The sequence below is a fragment of the Homo sapiens genome, chromosome 15, assembly GCF_000001405.40.
Source record: "Homo sapiens chromosome 15, GRCh38.p14 Primary Assembly".
Lineage (NCBI taxonomy): Eukaryota > Metazoa > Chordata > Mammalia > Primates > Hominidae > Homo > Homo sapiens.
Window position 1 is genome coordinate 65318092 of NC_000015.10, and position 25877 is coordinate 65343968.

Sequence of the window (25877 nt, forward strand, 5' to 3'; positions counted from 1 at the left end):
CGTCTCAAAACAAACAAAACAAAACAAAAAAACAGTACAATACAATAAAAAAAAATAGGCCGGTTGCAGTGGCTCACGTCTGTAATCCCAGCACTCTGAGACGTGGGCGAATCACTTGAGGTCAGGAGTTTGAAACCAGCCTGGCCAACATGGCGAAACCCTGTCTCTACTAAAAATACAAACATTAGCCAGGCGTGGTGGTGGGCACCTGTAATTCCAGCTACTTGGGAGGCTGAGGTAGGAGAATTGCTTGAGCCAGGGAGGCAGAGGTTTCAGTGAGCCAAGATCACGCCACTGCACTCCAGCCTGCATGACAGGATGCTACTTCTGTAATAACAGAAGTAGCATCATTATCATTGGGAGGACTCCATAGGGGCTCCTTCCCTTCCCCGAGGAAACTCTAGGCTATCTGACCCTCTCGATGACTTTCTGTCCACCTGGAAACCATGTAAGGCTTTCCTCAGACACATCGACCCCACAAAAAGCATATGCTCTAGAAATTTAGTGGTCATTCATATATTTATTGACCATCTGTTAGGTGGCAGGCCCCATGCAGCAAATGGAAGACTTGAGCCTGCTCAGTGAGTTCCCCATGCACTTGCACACCTCCCAAGCTTTGCTTATGCTGTGCCTGCAGCCTTGGATGCCCTTTCCCCTGTTTCCACTCCTTTTCAAAGCCTTCCTTAATCCAGCACTTCAGGATAATTTCCTTCCGTTTCTACAATGTGCTGCTGGTACTCACCCACATAAGTATTTGAATAGATAGCAGTTACTTGTATTCAAGCCTATAGATTGTCAGCTCACTGAGGGTCTGTCTCTCTCCTATGGGGCCCAGAGCATCTTAATTGCTGGGCTCAATTAGTCACCAGTAGGGATCAGGCCTCTGTTCCCGTGGCTGTAATCCTTGTTAATTCCACTGGGTGGCAGCAAAGTCCGCCAGTCACAGCCCTCCCAGGAGCGCAGCTTCCAGGCTGCCATGCTTGGAACCAGAGGCTCCCTGGGCTCCAGGGAGGCCAGGCCAGCTGCAGGAGGCCCTTCAAGCTCACTCTTCTATCTTTCTTCTTCTTTCTTCCTTTCTTCCTTCCTTCTTTCTTTTTCCTCTTCTTCTTCTTCTTCTTCCTCCTCCTCCTCCTCCTCCTTCTCTTCCTCCTCCTCCTTCTTTTTTTTTGAGACAGAGTTTTGCACTTGTCGCCCAGGGTGGAGTGCAGTGGCGCAATCTTGACTCACTGCAACTTCTGCCTCCTGGGTTCAAGCAATTCTCCTGCCTCAGCCTCCCAAGTAGCTGAGATTATAGGCTCCTGCCACTGCGCCCGGCTAATTTTTGTATTTTTAGTAGAGACGGGGTTTCACCATGTTCACCAGGCTGGTCTCAAACTCCTGACCTTGTGATCCACCCGCCTCAGCCTCCCAAAGTGCTGGGATTACAGGTGTGAGCCACCGCGCCTGGCTGCTTGCTTTCTTCTTTATCCTGCTCCCCTCTCCCCGGCATTCCTCTCCCCCCTCCCCCAACTTAGGGTTGCTTTGCCTTGCCTGCTCCAGTTTCTCTGCCTATTACAGTGGGATCATTTGAACACTTAAACTGTGCGCTTCACTTACATGAACTCAGTGAATCCTCTCAACCTCTTTTTTTTTTAATAACAGCTCTATCAAGGTATAATTCATGTTCCATGCAATTCGCCATTTAGGTGAACAATTCAATGGTTTTTAGTATATTCAGGACTGTGCAACTATCATTACAATTTTAGGATATTTTCATCACCCCAAAAAGAAACCCTGTATCCATTAGCTGTCATTCCCCATTTTCTCCCAACCCCTAGCCCCCATCAATCTGCTTTTGGTCCCTATAGACTTGCCAGTTCTGGACATATCCTATAAATGGAATTGTACAATATGTGGGACTTTGAGACTGGCTTCTTTCACTTAGTACCTGTGTAATGTTTTCCAGGTTCATCGATGTTGCAGCACGTACTCGTTTCATTTCAGTATTTTTTTAATCTGCTAAATAATATCTCATTGTGTGGATTGACCACACTTAGTTTCTGCATTCATCAGCTGATGGACAGTTGTTTCTGCCTTTTATCTACCGTGGCTAATGCTGCTGTGAACATCAATGTACAAATTTTTGTGCAAGCATATGTTTTCTTTTTTCTTTTTCTTTTTTTTTTTTTTTTTTGAGATGGAGTCACTCTATCACCCAGGCTGGACTGCAGTGGTGTGATCTTGGCTCACTGCAACCTCCGCCTCCCGGGTTCAAGCAATTCTCCTGCCTCAGCCTCCTGAGTAGCTGGGACTACAGGCACATACCACCACACCCGACTAATTTTTGTATTTTTAGTAGAGACGGGGTTTCACCATGTTGGCCAGGCTGGTCTTGAACTCCTGACCTCAAGTGATCTGCCCACCTCGGCCTCCCAAAGTGCTGGGATTACAGGCGTGAGCCACCATGCCCGGGCAAGCATATGTTTTCATTTCTCCTGAGTATACAGCTAGGAATGAAACTGCTGGGTCATACAGTAGCTACATATTTCGACTTTGTTGTTGTTGTTGTTGTTTTGTTGTTGTTTTAAGGTTTGTTTGTTGTTTTTTTGTTTTGTTCTGAGACAGGATCTCCCTCTGTCACCCAGGCTGGAGAGCAGTGGTGCCATCATAGCTCACTATAACCTCAAACTCCTGGGCTTAAGTAATCCTCTAGCTTCAGCCTCCTGAGTAGCTGGGACTACAAGCATGAGCCACCACACCCAGTCTGAGTTAGTTTTTTTTGTATGGTGTAAAGGGTCCAGATTCATTTCTTTGCATGTGAATATCCAGTTGTCCTAGCACCATTTTTTGAAAAGACTATTCTTTCTCTACTGAATTGTCTTGGCACCCTTGTCAAAAACCAATTGACTATAAATGTGAGAGTTTATTTCTGGATTGTTGGTGCTATTTTATTGAGATATATGTTTGCCCAGATGCCAGGAATACACTTTTTAATTATTGTAGCTTTGTAGTAAACCAAGAAAGTATGAGTCCTCCAACTTTGTTCTTTGTTTTCAAGATTGTTTTAGCTATTTGGGATCCCTTGCATTTCCGTATAAATTTTCGAATCAGCTCATCAATTTCTGCAAAGAACCCAGCTGGGTCGACAACCCTTTGAGGTAGGGGCATATTATCTCTATTTTACAGACAAGGAAACAGAGGTGTAAAGAAGTTAAATCGTTTGCTCACGGTTACACAACTAGGAAATAGCAGAGCCAGGGGTTCAAACCACATCAGTTGGACTCTAGTGTCCACAGCCTGGGCCATGGCCACCACCTTCTTAGCTCCAGAGGGTGCCATGCTTCTCACTAGAAGACAGGGAACAGTGACAGCTCGTTGCTCTCAATAGCAGGGCACTGGCTCTGAGCTCTGTACTAGCTCCCAGGTGGCAAAGGGCTGAAGGCATAGCCACCAGCTGAGTTGGAGAAGGTCCCCCATATAAGGTGACACCCCAGCTAGGCATGGAAGGAGACACCTCACTGTTCTCTGATCCTGCTGGGGCTCTGGTTCTCCTCACCCCAGCCTCAGCCCAATAACTGGGGACTTGCTGGCCACGGGAGAGATGACCTCAAGCTTCCAGGCACAAAACTCTCCAATTCTTGACCCAAGACACTACTATAGCAGCCGGGATTGAACCAAAGTATGCTTTCTTGGTAGCTTTGTGACAGTGTCCCCAGTACTCCCAGTTAGACACTCTGATTCCTTCAGTGGTTATGAAGAAAGTGCTGGCAGCACAAGTCCACATAATGGGGAGCCAGCTTTTGAGGCAATGAGACAAAATGCAGCATAGGGCATCCTGGGCCTCGGGGAAGGAAGCCCCTCCAGAGAGCGAGAGAGACATCTGCAGGAAGAGGCACCATGACGAGGAGAAGCTGTGGGGAGCAGAGCCTGGTCAGAGGGTGGCTATTCTGGAGTAATAGCCAGGGCCAACCCTGCCTTGTGGTGGTGGCACGTGGTGCACGGTGACCAAGGGGCCATCCACGTTTGTGGGAACTCAGTGTCCATCCCTCTTGAGTCCAAGGAGCCCTTCCCTTCTCTGCCAGCCAGGCTCCTCCTCGGCCTCCTCTCAGCCCCTTCTTCTCCCTGCTCCCTCTCCGTTCCAAGGTAGCTCCAGGGGGGCTCAGGGGAGCAACAAAGCCCTCAGATCAGTCCCCAAGTCCCCTCGTACCTTTTTTTTTAAGACAGGTTCTCCCTCTGTCACCCAAACTGGAGTGCAATGGCACGATCTTGGCTCACTATAGCCTCAACCTCCCAGGCTCAAGCGATCCTCACACCTCAGCCTCCTGAGTAGCTGGGATTACAGGCATGTGTCACCATGCCTGGCTAATTTTTAAATTTTGTGTGGAGACGATTTTGCCATGTCGTCCAGCTGGTCTCGAATTCCTGGCCTCAAGCTGTCTTCCTGCCTTGGCCTCCCAAAGTGCTGGGATTACACAGTGAGCCACTGTGCCCAGCCCTCTAATACCTCTTTGAGAGAGGACCATGGGTTTAGCTGTTCCCCTCCCTGACTCAAGCCTTAACCCAGAATTTAAGGCAGGCCCCCAGCCTTAGCTGCCCCCACTCACTCATTCCCTGTGTCCAGCCCCAGTGTCCCCATAGGAGTTCGGGGCACCCTCTGTCTCCTGCCGTCCCCAGCTGTGTCCCCACCAGCCTCATGCACAGTCCCAGGGCCATGGGGTAAAGCTTTCCTCCCCTCCCTGCCTCCTGGCTCATATTTGTTCCCCACCTGTCCCTCCGGAGTGGCCCTGTGGTCATTTTATTTATTTATTTATCTATTTATTTGAGATGGAGTCTCACTCTATAGTCCAAGCTGGAGTGCAGTGGCATGATCTCGGCTCACTGCTACTTTCACCTCCTGGGCTCAAGTAATTCTCCCCGGCGGGTGAGCCACTGCACCCGGCCCCTGTGGTCATTTTAAAACAGTCCATACATTCTTTGACTCTCCATTGAAAAGAAGACTTTAATTCCCCTTGAATTCCCTGAATGTGGCTTGCCTTAGCGACTTGTTCTAAAGAGCTGACTATAGCAGAAGTGATGCTGTGTCACTTGGGCCGGCGTAGAAATGATGTTGCAGTTTCCACCTGGCTCTCTCTCTCAGGACGCTTGTCTTTGGAACCCAGCCACTATGCTGTGAGGAAGCCCAGGCCACACGGAGAGGCCATGTGGAGGTGCTGGGCTCACAGCCAGCATCAGCCACCAGACGCGGGAGGGAGGGAGCCTTCAGGGGATCCCAGCCCCCAGGCTTCAAGCTGCCCACGCTGATGCAGAGTGGAGCAGAGACAGCTGCCCCTGAGCCCTGCCCAGACTGCATATTTGTAAGCCAAATAAATGTGATGTGAAACCACCAAGGTTTGACGGCACTCCAGCCTGGGCAACACAGTGAGACCCTGTCTCTTAAAAAAAAAAAAAAAAAAAAAAAAAAAAGGCCGGGCATGGTGGCTCATACCTGTAATCCCAGCACCTTGGGAGGCCGAGGCAGGTGGATCACGAGGTCAGGAGATCGAGACCATCCTGGCTAAAACAGTGAGACCCCGTCTCTACTAAAAATACAAAAAATTATCTGGGCATGGTGGTGCTTATAATCCCAGCTACTCAGAAGGCTGAGGCAGGAGAATCGCTTGAACCTGGGAGGGGGAGGTTGCAGTGAGTGGAGATCACGCCACTGCACTCCAACCTGGGTGACAGGGTGAGACTTGGTCTCAAAAAAAAAAAAAAAAAATTGCCAGGCGTGATGTCTTACGCCTGTAATCCCAGCATTTTGGAAGGCCGAGGCAGGCAGATTATCTGAGCTCAGAAGTTCCAGACCAGCCTGGGCAACATGGCAAAAGCGCATCTCTACTAAAAATACAAAAAATTAGCCTGGTGTGGTGGTGTGGGCCTGTAATCCCAGTTACTCGGGAGGCTGAGGCACAAGAATTGCTTGAACCCGGGAGGCAGAGGTTGCAATGAGCAGAAATCATGCCATTGCACTACAGCCTGGGTGACAGAGAAAGACTCCGTCTCAAAGAAAAAAAAAAGGTTTAGGGTTGTTTGTTACAGAGCCTTAGATGATTGGAACAGGTTGCAGCCTTGGTTGTGGCAGATTTCTGCCCAAAGATAGTTTGTGGGGGACAGTGAGGTTTGACGGGGTTCTTCAGCCTGAGGCCTCTGGGCTATTTGAGATCTCAGGACCTGGATTCCAGTCAGGCCACTCAGCTTTGACACCTATTTCTGCTAACCTTCCTCACTGGAACCCTGCTCTGTCATCTACCCAAGCCTGGCTGAGACTTGTGATGGTTAGGGCAGGCCCTGCCTACATTTGTTTGTGTTTTGTATACAATTTGCATATATCTGCATGATCATATTTTGGTGGATTTTTATTTTTTTTTTTGACAGAGTCTTGCTCTGTTGCCCAGGCTGAAGTGAAGTGTCGTGATCTCGGCTCACTGCAACCTCCACCTCCCAGGTTTAAGCAACTCTCCCACCTCAGCCTCCCGAGTAGCTGGGATTACAGGCAGGCACCACCATGCCTGGGTAATTTTTGTATTTTTTAATAGAGATGGGGTTTCCCCATGTTGGCCAGGCTGGTCTTGAACTCCTGACCTCAGGTGATCACCCGCCTCGGCCTCCCAAAATGCTGGGATTATACGCGTGAGCCACTGCACCCAGCCTTATTTTCGTGGGGTTTTTTGTTGTTGTTGTTTTGTTTTTTTTTGAGACAGAGTCTCGTTCTGTCACCCAGGCTGGAGTGCAGTGGCATGATCTCAGCTCACTGCAGCCTCTGCCTCCCCGATTCAAGCAGTTCTACTGCCTCAGCCTCCCGAGTAGCTGGGATTGCAGGCATGCACTACCACGCCTGGCTAATTTTTGTAGTTTTAGTAGAGACGGGGGTTTCTCCATGTTGGCCAGGCTGGTCTCGAATTCCTGACCTCAGGTGATCTGCCCACCTTGACCTCCCAAGGTGCTGGAATTATAGGCGTGAGCCACTGCGCCTGGCCCATTTTGTGGTTTCTAAACATTTCCAGACACCTCCCATCTGGGACTCTTAGAAGGGACAGGGGCACTGGATGTTACTTGTCTACTCCCCCAACCCCACAGGGTTGACTTGAACAATCACCTCCCCAGGCTGCCCTTGGATGGCTGAAGTTGTTAAAACATCTATGTGTGCAAAGTGCCGTGTAAAGAAAGAGTTTTATATCTATATTTGAGATAGTTCTTTCCTGGGATAATCAGGGAAAGTCAGCAACCTCCCTGGAGATTCAGGATAGGCGCCCTATAGGCCTCAGCGCTCTCTTGCCTGGTTCAGCATCCCTAGCACCGTCACTGGTCCTGACCTGACCTCGGGCCCAGCTATCCACAGGCCTCTTCTGGAAGTGCCTGGCCAGGTACCTTCAGATGTTCTTTTAGGATCACAATCCTGCTTTCAAGTGAAATTTCATCAAGAATCCAACATGGGCTCGGCACAGTGGCTCACGCCTGTAATCCCAGCACTTTGGGAGGCTGAGGGAGGTGGATCACCTGAGGTCAGGAGTTTGAGACCAGCCTGGCCAACAAGGCAAAACCCTGTCTCTACCAAAACTACAAAACATTAGCCAGGTATGGTGGTTGGTGCCTATAATCCCAGCTACTCGGGAGGCTGAGGCAGGAGAATTGCTTGAACTTGGGAGGCGGAGGTTGCAGTTAGCCGAGATCGCACTACTGCACTCCAGGCTGGGCGACAAAGTGAGACTCTGTCTCAAATTAAAAAAAAAAAAAAAAAAAAAAAAAGCCAACATGTAATAAGACAGAAAAAATATGGGAAAAAATATTGAGCTGGTCTGGGTGAGGGTGGGTAGGGAGAGTGAGGAGGCCCTCCAGAGAGCTCCCCCTCACCCCAGCCATAGCCAGGGAGCCCAATTTACCCACTGCTCTCCTGGTACGTTCCTCTCGAAAGGTGCCCCTGGGTTTAGAACCTGGCTTTCCAGGTCTGCTGAGCCTCCTGGGTGTGAACCCAGGCTTTCAAATTCAGCAGTAGCTGCATTATACTGCTGCCTCTTACTAAGCTTGAGGCCAGCTGAGACCTTCGGATCTTTGTCAGCATAACTGCCATTAAGCCCAGCCTCTCTCGAACCTAAGCCATAGCAGCTCCAGGCAACTGGCTTCAGGAGCCTGGACTGAGAGACAATGGCAGAACAGAGAGGCCTGGCCGGAGTCCTGGCTGAGTGCCCTGGAGGGAATCACTCAGTCACAGCCTGTTTCCTCAGCTTCAGAACCGGGAGGAAACCAGTCCTTCCTCATAGACAGTGCGTGAAAAGCACACAGCCCTGCCTGGCCAGCACCTGGAGAGCGCTTAACCTTGGCGGGCTGAGCGAGCAGCCGCCTCGCTGCTGGCCGAGGAGGGGTGGGGCGGTGGTCAGAATGCAGAGCCTGGAACCTGGCAGCCTGGCCTGGATACAGACTCGGATCCTGTGTGAGGATCAGACTGACCAACTGCCTGTGTGGGATTGTGGACATTTCCTTCACCTCTTTTTTCTTGGTTTCATCAACTATAAAATGGAGATGACCAGCCAGGCACGGTGGCTCATGCCTGTAATCTCACCGCTTTGGGAGGCTGAGATGAGCAGATTGCTTGAGATCGGAAGTTAGAGACCAGCCTGGCTAACATAGCGAAACCTTGTCTCTACCAAAAATACAAAAATTAGCTGGGTGTGGTGGCGCACTCCTGTAATCCCAGCTACTCAGGAGGCTGAGGCAGGAGAATTACTTGAACCCAGGAGGCAGAGGTTGTGGTTGAGCTGAGATTGTGCCATTGCACTCCAGCCTTGGCAACAGAGTAAAAAACTGTCTCAAAAAAATAAATAAAATGGAGATGACGGTCACTAGCATATCTTAGTCACAGGGAGGGGTGAGGACTCAGGAACTGCACCTCATGTGGCAGAGAGCTGTAGTGTATAGGGTCTGCTGTTACTATCCCAGGTTCTGGGCCTGTGAGGGCCCTGGCCCACCCAGCACCGCAGCCCCTCCCCCAGGACCTGACACAACCACCCAAAAACTCCAGGTTCACTTTGGCAACAGGACTTTTATTCAGTCAAAATGAGCAGAGTGTGACAAAACCCAAGTAAGGCCAGGTGGCCCCCCAGCCCCCTCCTGCCCCAGCCGCACCCTTCCCAAGGGAGAGGGAGGCTCCCGAGAGAAGCTGCTTTGGGAACAGAGGGGGCACTGCCTTGGAGCTTTGTGGAGCCCTGGGCATCCACACATCATTTGGGAGAAGGGAAGGGACTACCCTTCCCCAAGTCCACGCGGACACAGCTCTAGTTTTCTAGGAAAACACCACAAATTCTATCTTCTTCAGCTAATTAACTAAAGTTCAGGGTGGAGGTGTCCCTAGAGGATTGGGGGTCAGGGATATTTATGGTCTCATTCTTAAGGAATACACTTATCTTTTTTCTTTAAAAAAAGTTTTTCTTCTGCTATTTAAAAAAATGTTTCTGAGTATAACCAAAAATAGGTATTTGTTTCCTTGGTTTTCTTTTCTTCTTCTTTAACTAAGTAGTTCAAAGAACAACACAACAGAAAAGAGTAACAAAAAGTCACAAGAACATAACCCTTAACACACCTTGTATAAAAATAGCTTCCGGCCATGGCTGCTGACAGTGGATGCTCCCCTGTCGAGGGGTGGATCAGGCTGGCTGGGTGCCTGAGGCTGGGGCGCCTCTGCAGGGGACACCCACACCCCCTCACCCTCCCACACACCCATCCCACACATGGTACATTCCAGGGGCCGGGCCTGCAGGACAGGAGGCAGGCGGCCAGCTGATGCCACCCTCCCAAGCCCAGGTTCCTCATGGGCATCCCCATCAAGGATGGGCTGGCTCAAAATGGGAGTGGACAGACAAGACGGGGACAGGCGGTGTGCTGGGAGGTGGCTCGTTTGGACAATTTATACTTCAAGGAACAAATTTCCTCTCATTTTTGGCTGCTTTCACATTTTTTCTCTGCCCAATCCATTTCTATTTCTGTAGGCCACAAGAGTTCCCCTTGGTGGCCCAACCTCTGGCCTCTCCTCTGCAGGAGAGGTAGGTGGGCTGTGGGCAGGAGGGGCGGGGAGGCAGGTCCAGTGACAACACAGCCCACAGAGCCAGCGAGCCTTGAGGTAGACATTTTCTTTCACATCTGGAAATGGGGAAGTGCTTTTTTTTTTCTTTCACACCTGGAAACGGGGAAGTGCTTTTTTTTTTTTTTTTTTTTTTACTCTGGACAACAGTGTGGGAAGGGAGAGGGGGTCCCCAGCAAGGGGACTTGAGGTAGGAGTGCATTCGGGCTCTGTGGGGTAAGGGGGCTGAGGCCACCGCCCCACTGCCCCCCAGGACATTCATTCCGGCTGAGGTAGGTGCTGAGAGCCAAAACAGCAAAAATCCATCCTGAGAAAACAAAGTCGGTGGAGGGTGACAGTGTCAGGGCCCAGCTACAGCAGGGTCATCTTTTGGAGTCTAATTCACCTTCCTCTATCTCTCTCCTCTTTTTTTTTTTTTTTAAGTTTTGCTTTTTAAAGAAAAATGTTAGTTCAGTTCCAAGTCATGTGGGTACCAGGCAGAGGCAAGGGGGCGTCAGCCCAGGGAAGGAACAGGCTCCTGCAGGAACTGCTCCAACTCCTGATGGGTGTTAGGGCCGGGGGGTCCCTGTCAAGGCTGCCTTGGGTTTTGACAACCCAAGAGGCAGTCAGGATAGAAATGCTGGGGAGCCCCCAGGACCATCCAAATCCCACATGACAGTAGAAATCTTGCTTTTGACCTGAGAATGGGCCCCGCTCCGTCCACCCTCTGGAGCCTGCCAGACACTGGCTACTGTTCCGAGTGAGCTGGCTGGGTAACCCGGGCCGCTGCAGGCCTGGAAGCCTGGCCTTCACTGAGGAGGCCAGGGCCTCCATCTGGGGGTGGTGGGGCAGCCGCCAGGCCGGCGCAGGGAGCCGTGGCCTCTGTGGTCTTCGCCTCCGTCGTCTTCCCCTCCATCAGGCCGCACCCCTGAAGTGGCAGCACGGAGAGCTGGGTCTCCTCACACGGAGCGGGGGCTGCAGGATCCTGCTGGGGAAAGAGCCCGTCACACAGGCGTCAGCTTGAGGGCCAGGGCGCCAGGCTCCAACTCACCCCACTTGGGCCTTAGGGTCTCCAGGTCTCCCTGCCTGACTCAGGGACACAAAGAGAAGACCTGCAGTTTGACTAAGGCCAATGATCGAGGCCCGTGGCCAAGGTGAAGGGGGGCAGGATTGGAAGGTGGCAGTGTCAGAGCCTGAGGCGGGGGTTTGTTTAAGACATGGGCACTCACTGTGGGTCTGGGGTCCGGCTGCCCTGCTGCGCTGGCCGGGGGGAACAGCTGCTCCAGCTCCTTCATATCCACACGTTTCTCGTCTCGGCCCAGCTGGCCCCGCTGTCCCCGTCTCGCCCCATTTAGGGCTAGAATGCCAGGGTCCCTCTGGCTCCGGGGACCCTGTGGAGGGGACAGCTGGTTTTCCACATCTTTACACAGGAGGACCCTAAGGGTTAGCCAAGAGTTGGGGGGAGGGAGAGAGAAAAGAGACAGAGGCAGTGAGCCCACACTCACCTTCTCTAGGCCTAGTCCCCCACACACCAGCCCAGCCCCTCTCCCTGGCCCAGGACCCACCTGCCCCTTTGGCCGAACAGGAGGAAGAGGACACAGAAGATGATGCAAGTGACCCCGATGTGGATGCCGATGACGATGCCTGTGGTGGACGTCTGGTTGGCGGCCTCCTCCTTCCGGCAGTCACATGGTGGGCTCAAGGCTGGGGACAGGGACGGGTTGGAGGCTTTGGCTCTCCAGGTCTGAAGCACTCCCAAACACCCAGCCTCTGGGGACTCCTCTTCCTTCAGCTGCTCCCACTCCCAAGTGGGAGTGGGAACATCCTTTGACTTTGCCTACAGGACTCCAGACCAATCTTTTTGGTTCTTTTTACCAGATACTAGGAATAGCATGGACCATTTCATCCTTGCCACAGCTTTGTAAAGTAGGTACTATTATCCCTGTATTATAGAGAAAACTGGGATCAGAGAGGTTAAGTAACTTGACCAAGGTCACACAGCCAGCATGTGCATGGCCAAGCTTCAAACTGTGGTCTAAGCCTGTGTTTTCAAGCGTGGCACATGCTATCTCACCCCATTACTTTCCCGGCTTCCCACCCACTCAGCCCCGCACTCCATCCCCAGCCCTCACCTGTCCTCTCAGATGCTCCCCTCAAAGACACAAAGCGGACTGTGGCATTGCCATCTCCATGCTGGTTGTAGGCGAGCAGCTTCACCTCATACACTGCAGTGGGGTCTGGAGGAAGGCAGGGCGGATGAGCAACTGCCCCTGCCCAACCACGTGCCCTGTCCTAGCCAGGAAAGGGAGGTGACCCCTGTACGCCACCTCCTGGCCCTCAGCGCCGCACTCTGCCAAGCCCCCTAGGCTCTGGGCTGTGTCTGCCTCACCGAGCTGGCTGAGGTTGTAGGAGGAGACGGTTCCAGGCAGCAGGATGGGGCCGGTGAAGGAGGTCTTGCTTGCTGGGCGGTAAAACAGCTTGAAGCCGCCCTCGTGCTGGGCCAGCCGGGGCCAAGGCTCCCACAGCAGCTGCAAGGAGGAGCTGCCCAGGACTCGCACTGACAGTGGGGGTGGGGCAGGGGCTGCAGGTAGAGAAGGAGGCCACGATGTGAGGACCCAGTGGAAGCTCTATCTTTCTACCTTCCACCTGTGACCCCGACCCCCAAAAGCCTGACAGCCCTCTGGCCTCTGGCCAAGGGCATGTGCTTATGAAAGCAGCACCTTCCTAGGAATTAGAAAAAGAAGCCCTTTCCTCCAAGTAGACTCAGCCCTGACAGCCTCAGGGCCGGGCACCCTGCACAGCGCACAACCAGAACAAGTGTGCATGGTGGTTCTGCTCTGATACCCTGAGTGAGTGCCTGTGGTTTTGTGCTCCACACCCAGGCCTCACCTTCACCCAGGGTGCTAGCTAGGGTGGGCACAGAGGCTGAGCTGGCCCCCCTTGGTGTGTAGGCCTTGATGTAGAAACTGTAGGCTGTGGAGGGCTCCAGGTCGCTGACCAGGTGCTGAAAGGTGCTCTTGCTGACTGCCTCCTGATACTCCAGCTCCGGTGGGTCTGGAGAGGCACAGGGTGGGCAGGGGAGTGTGAAGGACTGGGGGAGTCCTGCCAGCATTGGTGAAATGAGGGCAGCCAGGGTGCCCGGGGGGACAGCGGGGAGAAGGAAAGGGAGGCATCGGGTCACGACGTGCAGGATTGGAAGGAATAAGAAATAGTGAATTAGAGGAAGGGGCAACAGAGCTGGCCACGCGCACCAGCAGCCTTCCTGATGTGCAGGACGTAGCCGATGATCTCCTTGGTGTTGGCCAGCGGCTCACTCCAGGACACACGCACCTCAGTGGAAGACACAGAGACTGCCCGCACATTGCGGGGAGGCCCGGGGAGCCCCTCAGCCCACAGTACGGTCAGCCTGGCACTGGCCTGTGATGAGCCCGCACTGTTCTCGGCCACACACTGATAAATGGCTTCATCCTCAGGACCGATTCCAGAAATGGTCAGTGTGCTGCAGGGGAGAGAGACAGCCTCAGGTTCCCTCCTCCCTGGAGGTTGACCAAATCTCCCCATTTGAAAGATGGAGAAACTGAGTCTTTCCAGGAGACAAACGACTTGTGTGAGGTCTCCCAGCAAGTTGGTGGTGGAACTGGGACTCCACCTCAATCTCCAGACTCCCAATTCTGTGCTCTTCCCTGGCAGGAGGTGTACAGCCTACTCAGGCCACTCACTCCAGGCCCCGCTTTCCCTGCTCTCCCCTGGTCCTCACCCCAGCACACACCACACACATACCTGTTGTTATTCTTGAGCCTGACGTGGCCTCCTGGCCCCAGCACCTGTCCATTTTTCAGCCACGTGACATGAGGCGGTGGCTCACCCTGGGCTTGGCAGGTGAACATGGCTGTGGTCCCAGCTGGCCTGGAGATGGACTGGGGATGCTGCACAAACTCAGCTGGGGCTGCGAGTAGAGTCAGGAGGGTGGGGGCGCAGACAGACACAGCTGTGAGTGACGGCATGAGGAAGGGAACAGGGGATGGGACTGGAGATACACAGGGTGAGAGGTGGGCTCCAAACACACATCTGCCCCCTGGAGACTCCTCCAGGTGGGGCCCAGCCTCTACTCCTGCCCAGCTCAGGAGATGGCCCACCTCCCTCTTCCCTCCTCCCCAGGCAGACCTGAGAGGACTCCTTTTTAATGACTATTTAAAAGACTGACATTTGTATCCGAAAGCAATCAAGCTGAACTCCCTGTTCAGGAAATTGTTAAATAAATAAATGTGCTAATAGGTTTGGCTGCACCTCCAGAAAGCGGTAATGATGGGGAGATGGATGAGCCTCAGTACCGGGGGCCCCCTCGCCCCCACATTCAATTCCGCTCTCCTCCAATCCCAGGCCTCAAGCCTCTATTAAAACCGGGAAATGAAATGCTCCATCACTTTCATTTGGACAGGTTAACGGCACATGGAATGCTAAACAAATGGGCATTTAAGTTCCTAATTCTCCCACTTCCCACCCTTTCCCCCGGTCTCCGGTAGGGAACAACCACAGGAAAACCCTAAAAATGTTCATCCAAGCCCAGTGCATGGGGACAGTTAAACCCCACAGCCAGAGGCCGATGGAAGGACCAGGTTAGCGGCAGGGCCCCGCCCCACGGGAGGGGAGGCAGCTCTGCCTGCGCAGTGAGGCTGCCGGCGACAGAGTGAAAATGACAAGCAGGCCCGGAGTGCACAGGCAGGCAGGTGTGAGCGTGGAGATGCCACACGTGTGAATGAAAACAGCACGTGGGAAGACACGTGTGAGCGACACAGGTGGGGACACCAGCTGAGATGAGAAAGTGGAAATGACTCCCTGGGTGGAGGGGTATTGACGGACCCGGAGGGCACGCAGAGGCCGGGGAGCATGACCAAGACCATCCACCCATTCCCAACGCAAGCATTCCTCGGGAAGAACGCACCGCCTTTGGCCTGGCCTGGGGGCCGGTGAGGGGCGAGGGGCAGGGCGAGTCCAGGAGACTGGGGTGGGACAGGGCCCTGGGGTTGGGCCTGGGCTGGGAGGAAGGGACTGTGCGGAGATCCCTGCCCTCCTCCTCAGGGTTGGCTGATCCATACCTTGCACCACCAGCCGGCCCTGTGCCGTTCTCCTCACCCGGGTGCCAGGTCTGTTGGCTGCACAGACGTAGACGCCAGAGTGCTGGACCGTCACGTCTGAGATGATGAGGTTTCCTGTGCCCAGCACCTGGATGCCCTCCACCCCGATAGGGCGACCATCTGCAGAGGAAGGGGAGGGGGGATGGGTGAGGGTCAGATAGAGATATGGAAGAAGGAAAGTAAAGGAAACTTCCAGATGGCTTGCCCTTCCTCCTGTCTTCTAGGGAGCCCCAGTCTTTGACTCTGCCCCTTCCCTCCTAGGCACCTTAACATGGAAGAGGCAGCAGAGAGCAGCACAGAACCCTCGCGCCTAGCAGCGGAGACCCTGTCCTGACCCTAGCATCACCACTGACTCACGGGCCACCTGCAAGGCCCTCCCCTTCTGTTTCACAATCTGTAAAGGAGTCTGTCTTAGATTGACGTTTCCCAGCCTGGTTTGTCTCTCTGGATCCATGGTCAAATATCCATTCTATGCCTGGATGGTAAGTCACATCACAGTGCCCCTGTGACCTGGTTGGGGGGGGAACCCGGTTAACTTTGTTTCCCAAACTTGTTAGACCAGCAGGCCATTCCTTCCGGCTTGACAGATCATGCTTTGGGAAATGTTGGACCAGATGGTCCCTGGAGTGCCTAGAGGTTCCTCCTGATGGTGCGGCCACTCTTTCCAGCCTCTCCCAGGGACCCGAGCCCTTCCCCCACCCCCACCAGGATCAGATTAGCACAGTCAGAATACAAGGAGACAGCTCCCCATTCAGGCCCTGAAGTGGTGAAATCTACTCCATTATCCTGCCTGCTGCCCCCTCCCTCCCCATCACTCAGCTGCTACAATGTGGCACAGTCTCCCTGTGAATGCGGTGCCCCACCCCACCCCCTCCAGAGTTTCCTTCCCGAGTGACCTTTCTGCTCAGACAATGTGGGCCCATCTGCACCCTTTCATTTCTCTCTTTCAGCTGCCTGGGGATTTAGGCTGGGGGACTTAGGGGGCCAGGCTAGAGATTGGGGGGGCCCAGAGTGAGGGTCTGACAACTGGCTGGGATTTTTAGGGACTTGGGACTGCACAGCTGAGGAACACGGCCAGAGTATAGAGGGCAGGAGTTAGCAGGAGGGGACAGATTCTGGGGTGCTGAGGGCTGCTGAAGGGTGCTGGGGTCCCCGAGGCCAGGGTGAGGGGAGGACTGCAGGGACTGGACAAGGTAACCCAAGGAGCTAAGCCATCCCTGCAGGGATGAGAATGGGGTGGGCAGGCGGGCCTCCCTGGTCCTTCCAGGAGAGGGAAACTTACCCTCTTCCCAGGTCACAGGGATAGAATGGACCCCCACAGAGAACAAACAGGATTCCACATTCCCCTGGAGCTGGGTGAGGAGTCTGAGACCGGCCCTCCCAGGGGGTGGGACAGGCTGGGAGGGGCAGGGGCTGTGGGGATGAGGCTCACCCAGGCGGCTCCAGGACACAATGGGGCGCGGGTTGCCCGTGGCGACACACTCAAGCACCGCGGTCTGGTGCACTGTCAGGGTGAGGTTCTCAGGCCCCACGAGGATGGCTGGCTCCTTGTAGGCCCCAGAGCCCGAGCCTGGGAGGAAGACGCCACATATCCTCACTTCAGCTGGGGACTTTCCCGCTTCCTCACCCCACCCACAGCCCAGGACACAGCGGGTGGGAAACAAACACCAGCCCAGAAACCAGGTCCTGTGGGCAGAGAGATACCAGGAGACCAGGACGTTCCAGACATCCGTCCCTCTGCTGCGGGCTCTGCAGGGCTGCCAGCAATGGGGAAGTCCTGGAGATCAGCATAGGATGGGATTCCCAGGGGGAAATGAGCCAGAGATCCAGCCTTAGATTCCTGTGCACCCTCACGCCAGGCAGCACAGAGCCCGGCACTCTGCACGCACGTGGCTGAGAAGGCTGCAGAGGCCAGCTGAAGGGGGTTGATCTAAGGGTAGGGAGGAGGAGGAGGCCAGGTGGGGAGGTTGGGGGAAAGTGCTGAAGGACCCTCACCTGACACAGTGAGCCTGGCCCCGTGGCTGATCCGGATACTGGCGATGTTTGAGGCCACACAGTGGAAGATGCCACCGTCCTCAGCTCGAAGTCCTGTGATCTGCAGGACCCCCTTGGGCAGCAATGTGTACCTGTTGAGGGGAGGGACATAGTTGGCCACCAGCACAGCCATTGACATAATCAGCCACAAAGACTCTGGGCATCCAAGATACAGCCCAGGACCTAAGCACTGCACCATCCCAACATCAGCAGACACACACTGGGACTTTCAAAGGTGGACACACCCTCAATTCCAGCCTTGACAACGATCGCACACATCCTCAGACACATCCATGAGCCTACAATCTGGGCCCAGCCAGTCATGTGGATACCCAGTCTAAACTGTGGTTGCAGAAACACCACTATCTCAGGCACCTGTGGGCACCAACTGCAGCTCCCAGAGCCGCGGGCCATCCTTCTCTACGGCCAGAGTCACTGGCCACCTCTTTGTCCTCCCTCTGTCTTTCCCACACGTGGCTCACCTCTCATTGTCCGTGTCAATTGGGACTCTGTTCTTCTCCCAAGTGATCAGGGGTTTGGGAAGCCCATGGATTTGGCACTGGAAGCGGGCCACACCACCCTCCTCACCCACGGTGGCCTGGGGATGCACGTGGAAGTCCGACATGGCTGGGGGAAGAGAAGTGTATGAGTGCAGTGCGCTGCTGAGGGCAGAAGGTAGGAGAGAATGGGCTGCAGTGGCGTCACAGGCACGGAGACCTGGAGCCCACTCCATCCAGGGGCAGGAGTTTTCCTGCAAGGGCAATAGCTTGGGGGACCCATCAGCACTTACCCCAGCCTCCAATAGCTAGGAAACATCTCCCCTGAGAGGTGGTATAGGCTGGGCTGGGATACTTTGTAAAAAGTCTGGACAAACTTCTGGATAACAAACCTCTAATAAGGAAATCCTGCACTGTTGGGACTTCTCTTGGAGGCCTTGGTCCCCAAAACTGACCCATGAAGGCCAATCAGACAAAGCCCTGCTCCCGAGCCCCACACCCCACTTTTTCAGCAGCTTTCAGATTCGTTTTTGTAAATTCTCCCTAAGGCAGGCAAGGGCTCAGATCCTCAGTGCTTCACATTTTATAGAATTGGAAGCTGAGGCTCAGAGAAGGGAAGCAATTAGTCCTTTGTTGCCCAGCAGGGACACTGGTCATCAGGCCCTGGTTACCAGGGCCCGGGAGCTTTTTTTTGGTCCCTCCTTCTCCTACTCCTCCCACCCCCAGTTCATCTGCAGTCTCTCGATGCACCCCAAGAGGGTGTTGCATCCATCCAAGGTGACAAGCCTCTCAGAAGACTGTCAGACCTACCAATCTACATTTCAATGTGTCATAAATATTCAGGGACCCCTCCCCACCTTTTGGGGATCTGAACTAACTGCTTGAACTCTGGTCTGCAGAGATCATCAGTGCAGAGGGGCTGTGGTGCACCCTCCCCTCCCAGTTACAGGCTGGTTAAGTGTTTCTGCCCACCCCCGTTTCCACCCATGCCCAAACCCCACCCTGTAATGCCTGGGGAAGGAGCCCCTCCCACTCGGGTTCCCAGCTTCAGCACCAGGGCTGCGATTTCATTAAAATCCACTTTGCTTCAAGTGCAGGAAGGCGGTACACCATCTGTCCAGGCAGGCAGCCCCTCGTCTCAGGCACTCCATCAACTGGGACAGTCGCTCCCCTCCCAGAGGAAGCCCTCCCCCACAGCAGCAGGGACACTGGAGCTCGTCCTGGCTCCTGCTCCTGGCTCCCTGGTGTGGGCAGGCCACCCTCCCCGTGGCCCCCATCCCCCATCTCAGGCCCCCTCAATCCACCAGCCTGATCTGGCCTCCAGGGCAGCCCAAAAGGCGAGCCTTTGTGCCCTTCCACCCAGAGTCTCTGGGGGCTGGCTCCTTTGTGGCGTGTTCTCCATCTCATTTGCATGTGGTTCATTAAATATAAACATGCATAAAAATCACCGCCCTGCCTCCTCGTCTTTGAGGGCCTCCTGGGAGTGTGTCTGATGGGTGTGTGCGCCTCTTTGTACATGTGTGCGGGGCTGTGTCTCCGTGTATGTGGTCTGAGTGTCTGTGTCTGGACGGGAATCCGTCCACTGCTGCGGCGGGTGTGTACCTCTGGTTCTGTGCAGGTAATCAATCACACACATCCCCACGTAGGTACAGCCCTTATAAACAGTACCTTGGGGCCCTGGGGGTGGGAGGTGGGGGCAAGTGTCCCAGCTGGTGTTCCCATCAGGCTTGGTGAGAGGATCCCCAGGGAGCACTGGGAGGTGGGCCTTCCCGGCCTCAGGCCAAAGGCTGTGTTTGGCCAAGGGAGGTAAGTAAGCCCAGGGACTTGGGGGAGGGGGCCGAGGTGCTGCTGGAGCCCCTCTACTGCCTCTAGCCCTCCACCTCCAGGAAGGCAACTGGATGCCATGAGCCCAGGGAGTGGAGAGGGCACCCAGGCTCCCGGGTCAGCTGTCTACATCCCCCAGGCCCTGCTCCTTCGAAGATGGGGAGCTGCCAGCCTCCTCTTCACTCCAGCTGGATAGGAGTTCCCAGTCCCCCAGGGACCTGGGGTGGGGACTAATGGCTCTGCTGACTACAGATGCCTCCTCATTAAGGAACAAATCCTTTTGTGCTTCTAGCCCCATCCTGGGCTCCCTGGAGGCACCCAGTGCTAGGAGCTGGCCTGAGGAAATATACAAGGGAAAGGGCTGCCTCTTATCAGGGCGCTGGGGATGGAGAAAGTCTGGCTTCCACTGCCTGACTCCCTCCTCCTCCCCTCAGCACTAAGCAGCCACAGCACAGTTGGACATGGTGCTAGAGCTGGAAGGGTCACAGGTATGGAGCCAGTCTGATATCCGTCACTGTGCATAGTGCGACTGACTCCTAAGGGTCCCCTGGATGCACTTAAGCCCACCTCCTGCTCACATTTCCCTTCCGTCAGAGCAGCACCTTGCTGTACCTCTCGATCAGCTTGACTTGGTTACAGTTCTGCTAAACATTTAATTTGAAGGGTAGCTTTGCCTTTAAGAGTAATTGAAAACCATGAATCTGAAGCTAATCTCTTTATTTTAGGAAAGGGAAACTGAGGCCAGGCTCTCTGCTGGGATGTCCCTTAGTTTTCCAGCAAGTTTCTCACTCTCCAAGGCCAGGTAACTGCAGAGTGGACTGCATGCTGGACTAGCTTCTTCTCACGGTGTGGAGGAAAGGTAATGAGCTCTAGGGAAGGCTCTTCACCCCCACCCCTGGGAGCCCAGCTGGCTGCACAGGTGTGGTCCAGGAAGGGCAGGTGCAAGAGGGAGGGTGTGGTCCTCTTCATCTGAGGCTCCTCCTTCCCTCCCTTCCTTATACCCTCTCTCAACTCTTTGGTCAGTCCTGCATATTCCTTAGGCGTCCTAGGATTTCTGTGAGACCCTGGGCAGGCAGCATCCTCTCAGCCACAAATGAAGGGAGTGGATGAGTCGCTCTTCAGGGCCCCTCCAGCCCTGCCTCCTCATCTGTCTTCATGAACAGGATCCACAATCTCTGGGCCAGCAAACTCAGCTTAGCTGGAGTCTCCTAAAATCTTCCACACACATCTGGTTCATAAGCAATAGTATTTTTTCTTTTTTTTTTCTTTTGAGACAGGATCTCACACTGTCACCCAAGCTGATGTGCAGTGGTATGATCCTAGCTCACTGCAGCCTTGACCTCTCAGGCTCAGGTGATCCTCCCGCCTCAGCCTCCTGAGGAGCTGGGACCACAAGCGCGCACCACCACGCCCAGCTAATTTTTTAATTTCTTTTTTCTTTTTCTTTTTGAGACGGAATCTTGCTCTGTCACCCAGGCTGGAGTGCAATGGCATGATCTCAGCTCACCGCAAGCTCCGCCTCCCAGGCTTAAGCAACTCTCCTGCCTCAGCCTCCCGAGTAGCTGGTACTACAGATGCACGCCACCATGCCCAGCTAATTTTTGTATTTTTAGTAGAGATGGGCTTTCACCATGTTAGTCAGGCTGGTCTCAAACTCCTGACCTCGTGATCCGCCCGCCTTGGCTTCCCAAAGTGCTGGGATTCCAGGCGTGAGCTACTGTGCCTGGCCAATTTTTGTATTTCTTATAGAGACAGGGTCTCCCTACGTTGCCCGGACTGGCACAGCATTTTTTTCTTTAGGAAGTTTGAGGAAAAGGGATGTTGAGGCCATTTCGGCCCCCTCTAGTTTCTCAGGGTGGAACATGTTTGATTCACAAGTGTGTTTATGCCCTGGCTTGTGCCAGCAGGCCACAGAGCCGGGTGGACTGTCCCTCATTATGTCTCTCTAGGGAGAGGGTCCCTGAGCAAACATGAGGAAGTGGGGCTGAGGGCCGGACTTCAGGGCACCCTGAGATCTGAACAAGTCACCCTGCAGGCCACTGTGTTGCTGATGACAGTACAGACCAGCTAGTGTATTAGCATTGAGTATTTATGTCTGGTGTTGGTGGTATTGTGTCTGTGGCTGGTGCACGTGACAGTGGTGCTGTGACTTTGGCTCTTGATGCTTTACACTCCTGCGGATATCTGTTGGTCTGGTAGGGACAGTTTTGGGTCCCTCACTTCAAGTTGGGTGATGGGAAGGGGGTGATGGGCAATGGTCTTCCAGGTGTGAGGGCCAGAGAAAGCGACAGGGAGGACAAAGTCCTGCTTGGCAGTAGGTGGGGAGAAAGGAAGAAGGCACCTTTGTCCACAGCGATCTGGGAAGGAATCTCCCAGCACCGCCCTGCCCCCACCAGAGGTGCGACCAGGCTGAGGGGAGAGACAGAGGGCAGAGAGTGAGCTTAGCAATTCACAGGGCTGGAAGGGAAAAGAAACAGGAAGGAAACAGTTCCTGGACACCTCTATAAATCACCCAAGGGGAGGGGCCTCCTGAGAGCCAGATCTAGGGCCGCTCAGGGAGGGGAGGGGAACTCTCTTCCTGGTCCAGGACCTCTGGCGAGGTCAGGCCTGGATCTGATTAGACAGGCTCCAGGGGGAGGTGGGGGGCAGCAAAGGGTCGAGGTAGAGTGCTGGGAAGGAAGCTCAGGCCCCCCACCCTTTGGCCATAGCCAGACTCCTATCCGGTCTGTGATGGTAAAAAGATCTGGGGGCATGTTTGGATGGAGAGTTCAAAACATAACCTTTGCAAAAGCGAGGGGCCCTGGGGCTCTGAGGTGCCGGCTGTCCCCACCTCATACAGCCATTCAAGAGGGGCAGCTGTGAACCACAGACTCTTCTGAAGGCCACCGAGGCCCATTCCCTCCTTGTATCTATCCCTGCCAAAGACCAGGGACACGCAGCCTTTTGGATGTCCAGCCCCTCCTCAGGCAGCTGGGATGATTATCATGTTTTTGCTTACTCCAGACACATACCTGAATCCCATACACTTCTACTCACTGTACCCAACTTTTCCCTTTAGAACCACATTTTCTTTTTCTTTCTTTTTTCTTTTGTTTTTTGAGAGAGACTCACTCTATCACCTAGGCTGCAGTGCAGTGGTGAGATCTCAGCTCACTGCAACCTCTGCCTCCTGGGTTCAAGCAATTCTCCTGCCTCAGCCTCCCAAGTAGCTGGGACTACAGGCACGCACCACCATGCCCAGCTAATTTTTGTAATTTTAGTAGAGACAGCGTTTTGCCATGTTGGCCAGGCTGGTCTCAAACTCCTGACCTCAAGTGATCCACCTGCCTCAGCCTCCCAAAGTGCCGGGATTACAGGCGTGAGCCACCATGCCCGGCCCACATTTTCCAATATAGTGGCCAGCTATTAAGCACCTGAAATGTGGCCAGTCCAAATTGAGATGGGCTGTAAGTATCAAATACACATTGGATTGTGAAGACCTAGTATTAAAAAAAGAGAGAGAGAAAAGACCCTAATCTTAGGGAAATGCGAATCAAAACTACAATGGGATGTGTACTATCAAAAATACAGAAAATAGCAACTGTTGTTGAGGATGTGGAGAAATCAAAACCCTTGTGCAATGTTGGTGGGGATGTAAAACGGTGCCGCTGCTGTGGAACACGGTATGATAACTCCTCAAAAAATTAAAAATAGAATTAGCATGTGATCCAGCAATCCCACTTCTGGGTATATACCCAAAAGAACTGAAAGCAGGGTCTCAAACAGATATTTGATAATGTCTATAGCAGCATTATTCACAATAGCTAAAAGGTGAAAGAAACTTGTGTCTATTGACAGATGAATAAACAAGATATGCTATATCCATTGAGTGGAATATTATTCGGCCTTAAAAAGGAGGAAATCCTGACACATGCTACAACAGGGATGAACCTTGAGGACACTATGCTACGTGAGATAAGCCAGTCACAAAAAGACACTGTAGAATTCTACATATATGAGGTACCTAGAGAAGTCAAATTCCTAGCCCACAGGGCCTTACATCATCAGAAGACTTTGAGTAAGTTTCAATCATCAACCATCCCATGTCTGTGCTGTCTAATGTGGTAGCTACAAGCCACATGTGGCCATTTATTTATTTTTTGAGACAGGGTCTTGCTCTGTCACCCAGGCTGGAGTGTAGTGGCATGATCTCAGCTCACCGCAACCTCCACCTCCCAGGTTCAAGCGATTCTCATGCCTCAGCCTCCCAAGTAGCTGGGGTTACAGGCACCTGCCACCACGCTTGGATAATTTTTTGTATTTTTAGTAGAGACGGAGTTTTGCCCTGTTGGCCAGGCTGGTCTTGAACTCCTGGCCTCAAGTGATCCTCCCAGCTGGGCCTCCCAAAGTGTTGGGATTAACAGGCATGAGCCACCATGCCCAGCCTCACATGTGGCCCTTTAAATTAGAATTACAGCCAGGCGCGGTGGCTCATGCCTGTAATCCCAGCATTTTGGGAGGCCGAGGCGGGTGGATCACATGAGGTCGGGAGTTCAAGACCAGCCTGACCAACATGGAGAAACCTCGTCTCTATTGAAAATACAAAATTAGCCGGGCGTGGTGGCACATGCCTGTAATCCCAGCTACTCGGGAAGCTAAGGCAGGAGAATCGCTTGAACCCGGGAGGTGGAGGTTGGGGTGAGCCGAGATCACGCCATTGCACTCCAGCCTGGGCAACAAGAGTGAAACTCCGTCTCAAAAAAAAAAAAAAATTAGAATTACATACAATTAACAAATTTAGTTCCTTTCTCTTACTAGCTTCATTTCAAGTGCTCAGCAGCCACAAGTGGTTACTGACTACACTATGGGTCAGCACCAATAGAAGAACTTCAGTCATCACAGAGAAGTCTATCGGATAGTGCTGGTCCAGACCCGAAGCAAGGTCGTGGACTCCCCTTCCTCCTCTGCTGCCTTCTCTACTGCTCATGGTCTCTCTGGCCGTCCCTCCAGAGAGCATCCCTCCTCTCCATCCTCATCACTGGCCAGCCTTGCCCTTGCCTGCACTCCCCCCTCTTGGCCACGTGGACTCAGAGACTGATGACGAGGCCCACATCAGATCCCACGCTAGGGCTGTCACGCTGCAGGGCAGGGAAGGCCTCACATGGAAAGATTTCTGTTCCCAGTGGGGAAATACTTGCTAAAACTTTGTTTGCTTTTGTGTTTGTTTGTTTTTTTTTGTTTGTTTTTGAGACAGGGTCTCGCTCTGTTGCCCGGGTTCACCTCGACCTCTTGGGCTCAGAACTGTTTGAGGTAGTGGTATAGGGAGGAGATTAATGGTAAAGGTTCTGGAATCATACAGAACTGAGTTCAAATCTCAGCACCACCATTATGGGCTGTGGGATCTTGGGCAAGTGATAGAATCTCTGGAAATCTCTATTGTCTCACTTATGAACAGGGATGATCACAGCTCAAGTCACTAGAGCCACTGCAATAGGGGGATTCAATGAGCTATGTTCGTAAACTGCTTAGCGCAGGCCTTGGCAGAGAGCAAATACTTGCTATCTGTTCTTGAGGGAAGATGGTATAATCTTGAGTTAAAAGGGAACTGAGAGATTGTGGAAGAGCAGGGCGGGGGGTCAGGAAGAAATGGTCGTGTCTCTTCTCCAAGGGGCAGCCTCTTTCCTCAGAGGGGATGAGGCTCAGGGAGTGCATGGTGGAGCTCAAGCTGTCTGGAGAAGGGAGTAAAAACTGAATTTGCAAGGCCTGAATGGTGTGGGGGGAGGACATGTGTTGCGGGGGCGAGCAGCAGGGTATAAACCAGAGCCTCTTCTACCTTACTTCTGCCTGGGGGCTTCACGGGGTCCCAATAGACAAGCTGTCAGTTGGAAGAGGCCACTGGGTAATTGAGGCCTTGATTTCTCTAGTAAAATGTTTATGAAGCCTATAAACCCAGCCCTTTATTGGCCAGGCTCATTCCGGGGGTTGGATGTGGCTCTCCGAGGTATAGTTAAAACACCTGCTGAACTCAGGCGCCCGATGGCTACTCTGGCCTCCACGCAGACCCACCGGAGCCACCAGGAAGAGTGCTAGTGGGGCACAGCTGGGGCAAGATGGCCCCTGGAGGGCAAGGAGGCCAGCCATGTCAAATGCTCTTTAAACTCCTCAAGGCACCTGCAAATGTCCCATCTCTAAAAGTCTATGAGGAGAAAGGTGGTGGAGAGAACCCTGAATCCGGGAGAGGCTGGCCACTTGCTCAGGGTCCCTGGTGGGGTAGTGGTCTTGTCATCAGGGTTCTCTGGCCCAGGCTCACCCTTCCCAACCCTCTGTCCCAGGTACCCA

The 25877-nt window shown here is 53.4% G+C and overlaps 1 protein-coding gene across 5 annotated transcripts in view, besides 6 other annotated features; it reads right to left on the reverse strand.

Annotated features, from left to right (window-relative positions):
- Positions 772-821: an enhancer, noted in NCBI's record as "active region_9595". NCBI's record gives its function as "activates an Ori minimal core promoter by ATAC-STARR-seq in GM12878 lymphoblastoid cells {active_cell/tissue: GM12878}" and the evidence as "EXISTENCE:reporter gene assay evidence [ECO:0000049][PMID:35858748]".
- Positions 7744-8287: an enhancer, noted in NCBI's record as "H3K4me1 hESC enhancer chr15:65618173-65618716 (GRCh37/hg19 assembly coordinates)". NCBI's record gives its function as "activates a minimal SCP1, AML or CMV promoter by ChIP-STARR-seq in naive H9 embryonic stem cells {active_cell/tissue: H9 hESC(naive)}" and the evidence as "EXISTENCE:reporter gene assay evidence [ECO:0000049][PMID:30033119]".
- Positions 9036-25877, reverse strand: part of IGDCC3 (immunoglobulin superfamily DCC subclass member 3) — a 50876-nt gene continuing 34034 nt past the window's right edge. For 3 of the 5 annotated variants that reach the window (NM_004884.4, XM_011522244.2, XM_011522243.1), the window contains 12 exons: positions 17721-17865; positions 17200-17330; positions 16637-16774; positions 15166-15324; positions 13850-14015; positions 13321-13568; positions 12959-13123; positions 12459-12650; positions 12202-12306; positions 11635-11773; positions 11299-11506; positions 9036-11057 (listed from right to left, as the gene is read on the reverse strand). In NM_004884.4, coding sequence (NP_004875.2) covers positions 10818-11057; positions 11299-11506; positions 11635-11773; positions 12202-12306; positions 12459-12650; positions 12959-13123; positions 13321-13568; positions 13850-14015; positions 15166-15324; positions 16637-16774; positions 17200-17330; positions 17721-17865 — 2036 coding nt within the window. In that variant the 3' untranslated portion in view covers positions 9036-10817. The other 2 variants (XM_011522241.3, XM_047433374.1) reach the window with 2 other exon arrangements.
- Positions 14307-14979: an enhancer, noted in NCBI's record as "H3K4me1 hESC enhancer chr15:65624736-65625408 (GRCh37/hg19 assembly coordinates)". NCBI's record gives its function as "activates a minimal SCP1, AML or CMV promoter by ChIP-STARR-seq in primed H9 embryonic stem cells {active_cell/tissue: H9 hESC(primed)}" and the evidence as "EXISTENCE:reporter gene assay evidence [ECO:0000049][PMID:30033119]".
- Positions 16009-16587: an enhancer, noted in NCBI's record as "H3K4me1 hESC enhancer chr15:65626438-65627016 (GRCh37/hg19 assembly coordinates)". NCBI's record gives its function as "activates a minimal SCP1, AML or CMV promoter by ChIP-STARR-seq in naive H9 embryonic stem cells {active_cell/tissue: H9 hESC(naive)}" and the evidence as "EXISTENCE:reporter gene assay evidence [ECO:0000049][PMID:30033119]".
- Positions 16588-17166: an enhancer, noted in NCBI's record as "H3K4me1 hESC enhancer chr15:65627017-65627595 (GRCh37/hg19 assembly coordinates)". NCBI's record gives its function as "activates a minimal SCP1, AML or CMV promoter by ChIP-STARR-seq in naive H9 embryonic stem cells {active_cell/tissue: H9 hESC(naive)}" and the evidence as "EXISTENCE:reporter gene assay evidence [ECO:0000049][PMID:30033119]".
- Positions 17746-18323: an enhancer, noted in NCBI's record as "H3K4me1 hESC enhancer chr15:65628175-65628752 (GRCh37/hg19 assembly coordinates)". NCBI's record gives its function as "activates a minimal SCP1, AML or CMV promoter by ChIP-STARR-seq in primed H9 embryonic stem cells {active_cell/tissue: H9 hESC(primed)}" and the evidence as "EXISTENCE:reporter gene assay evidence [ECO:0000049][PMID:30033119]".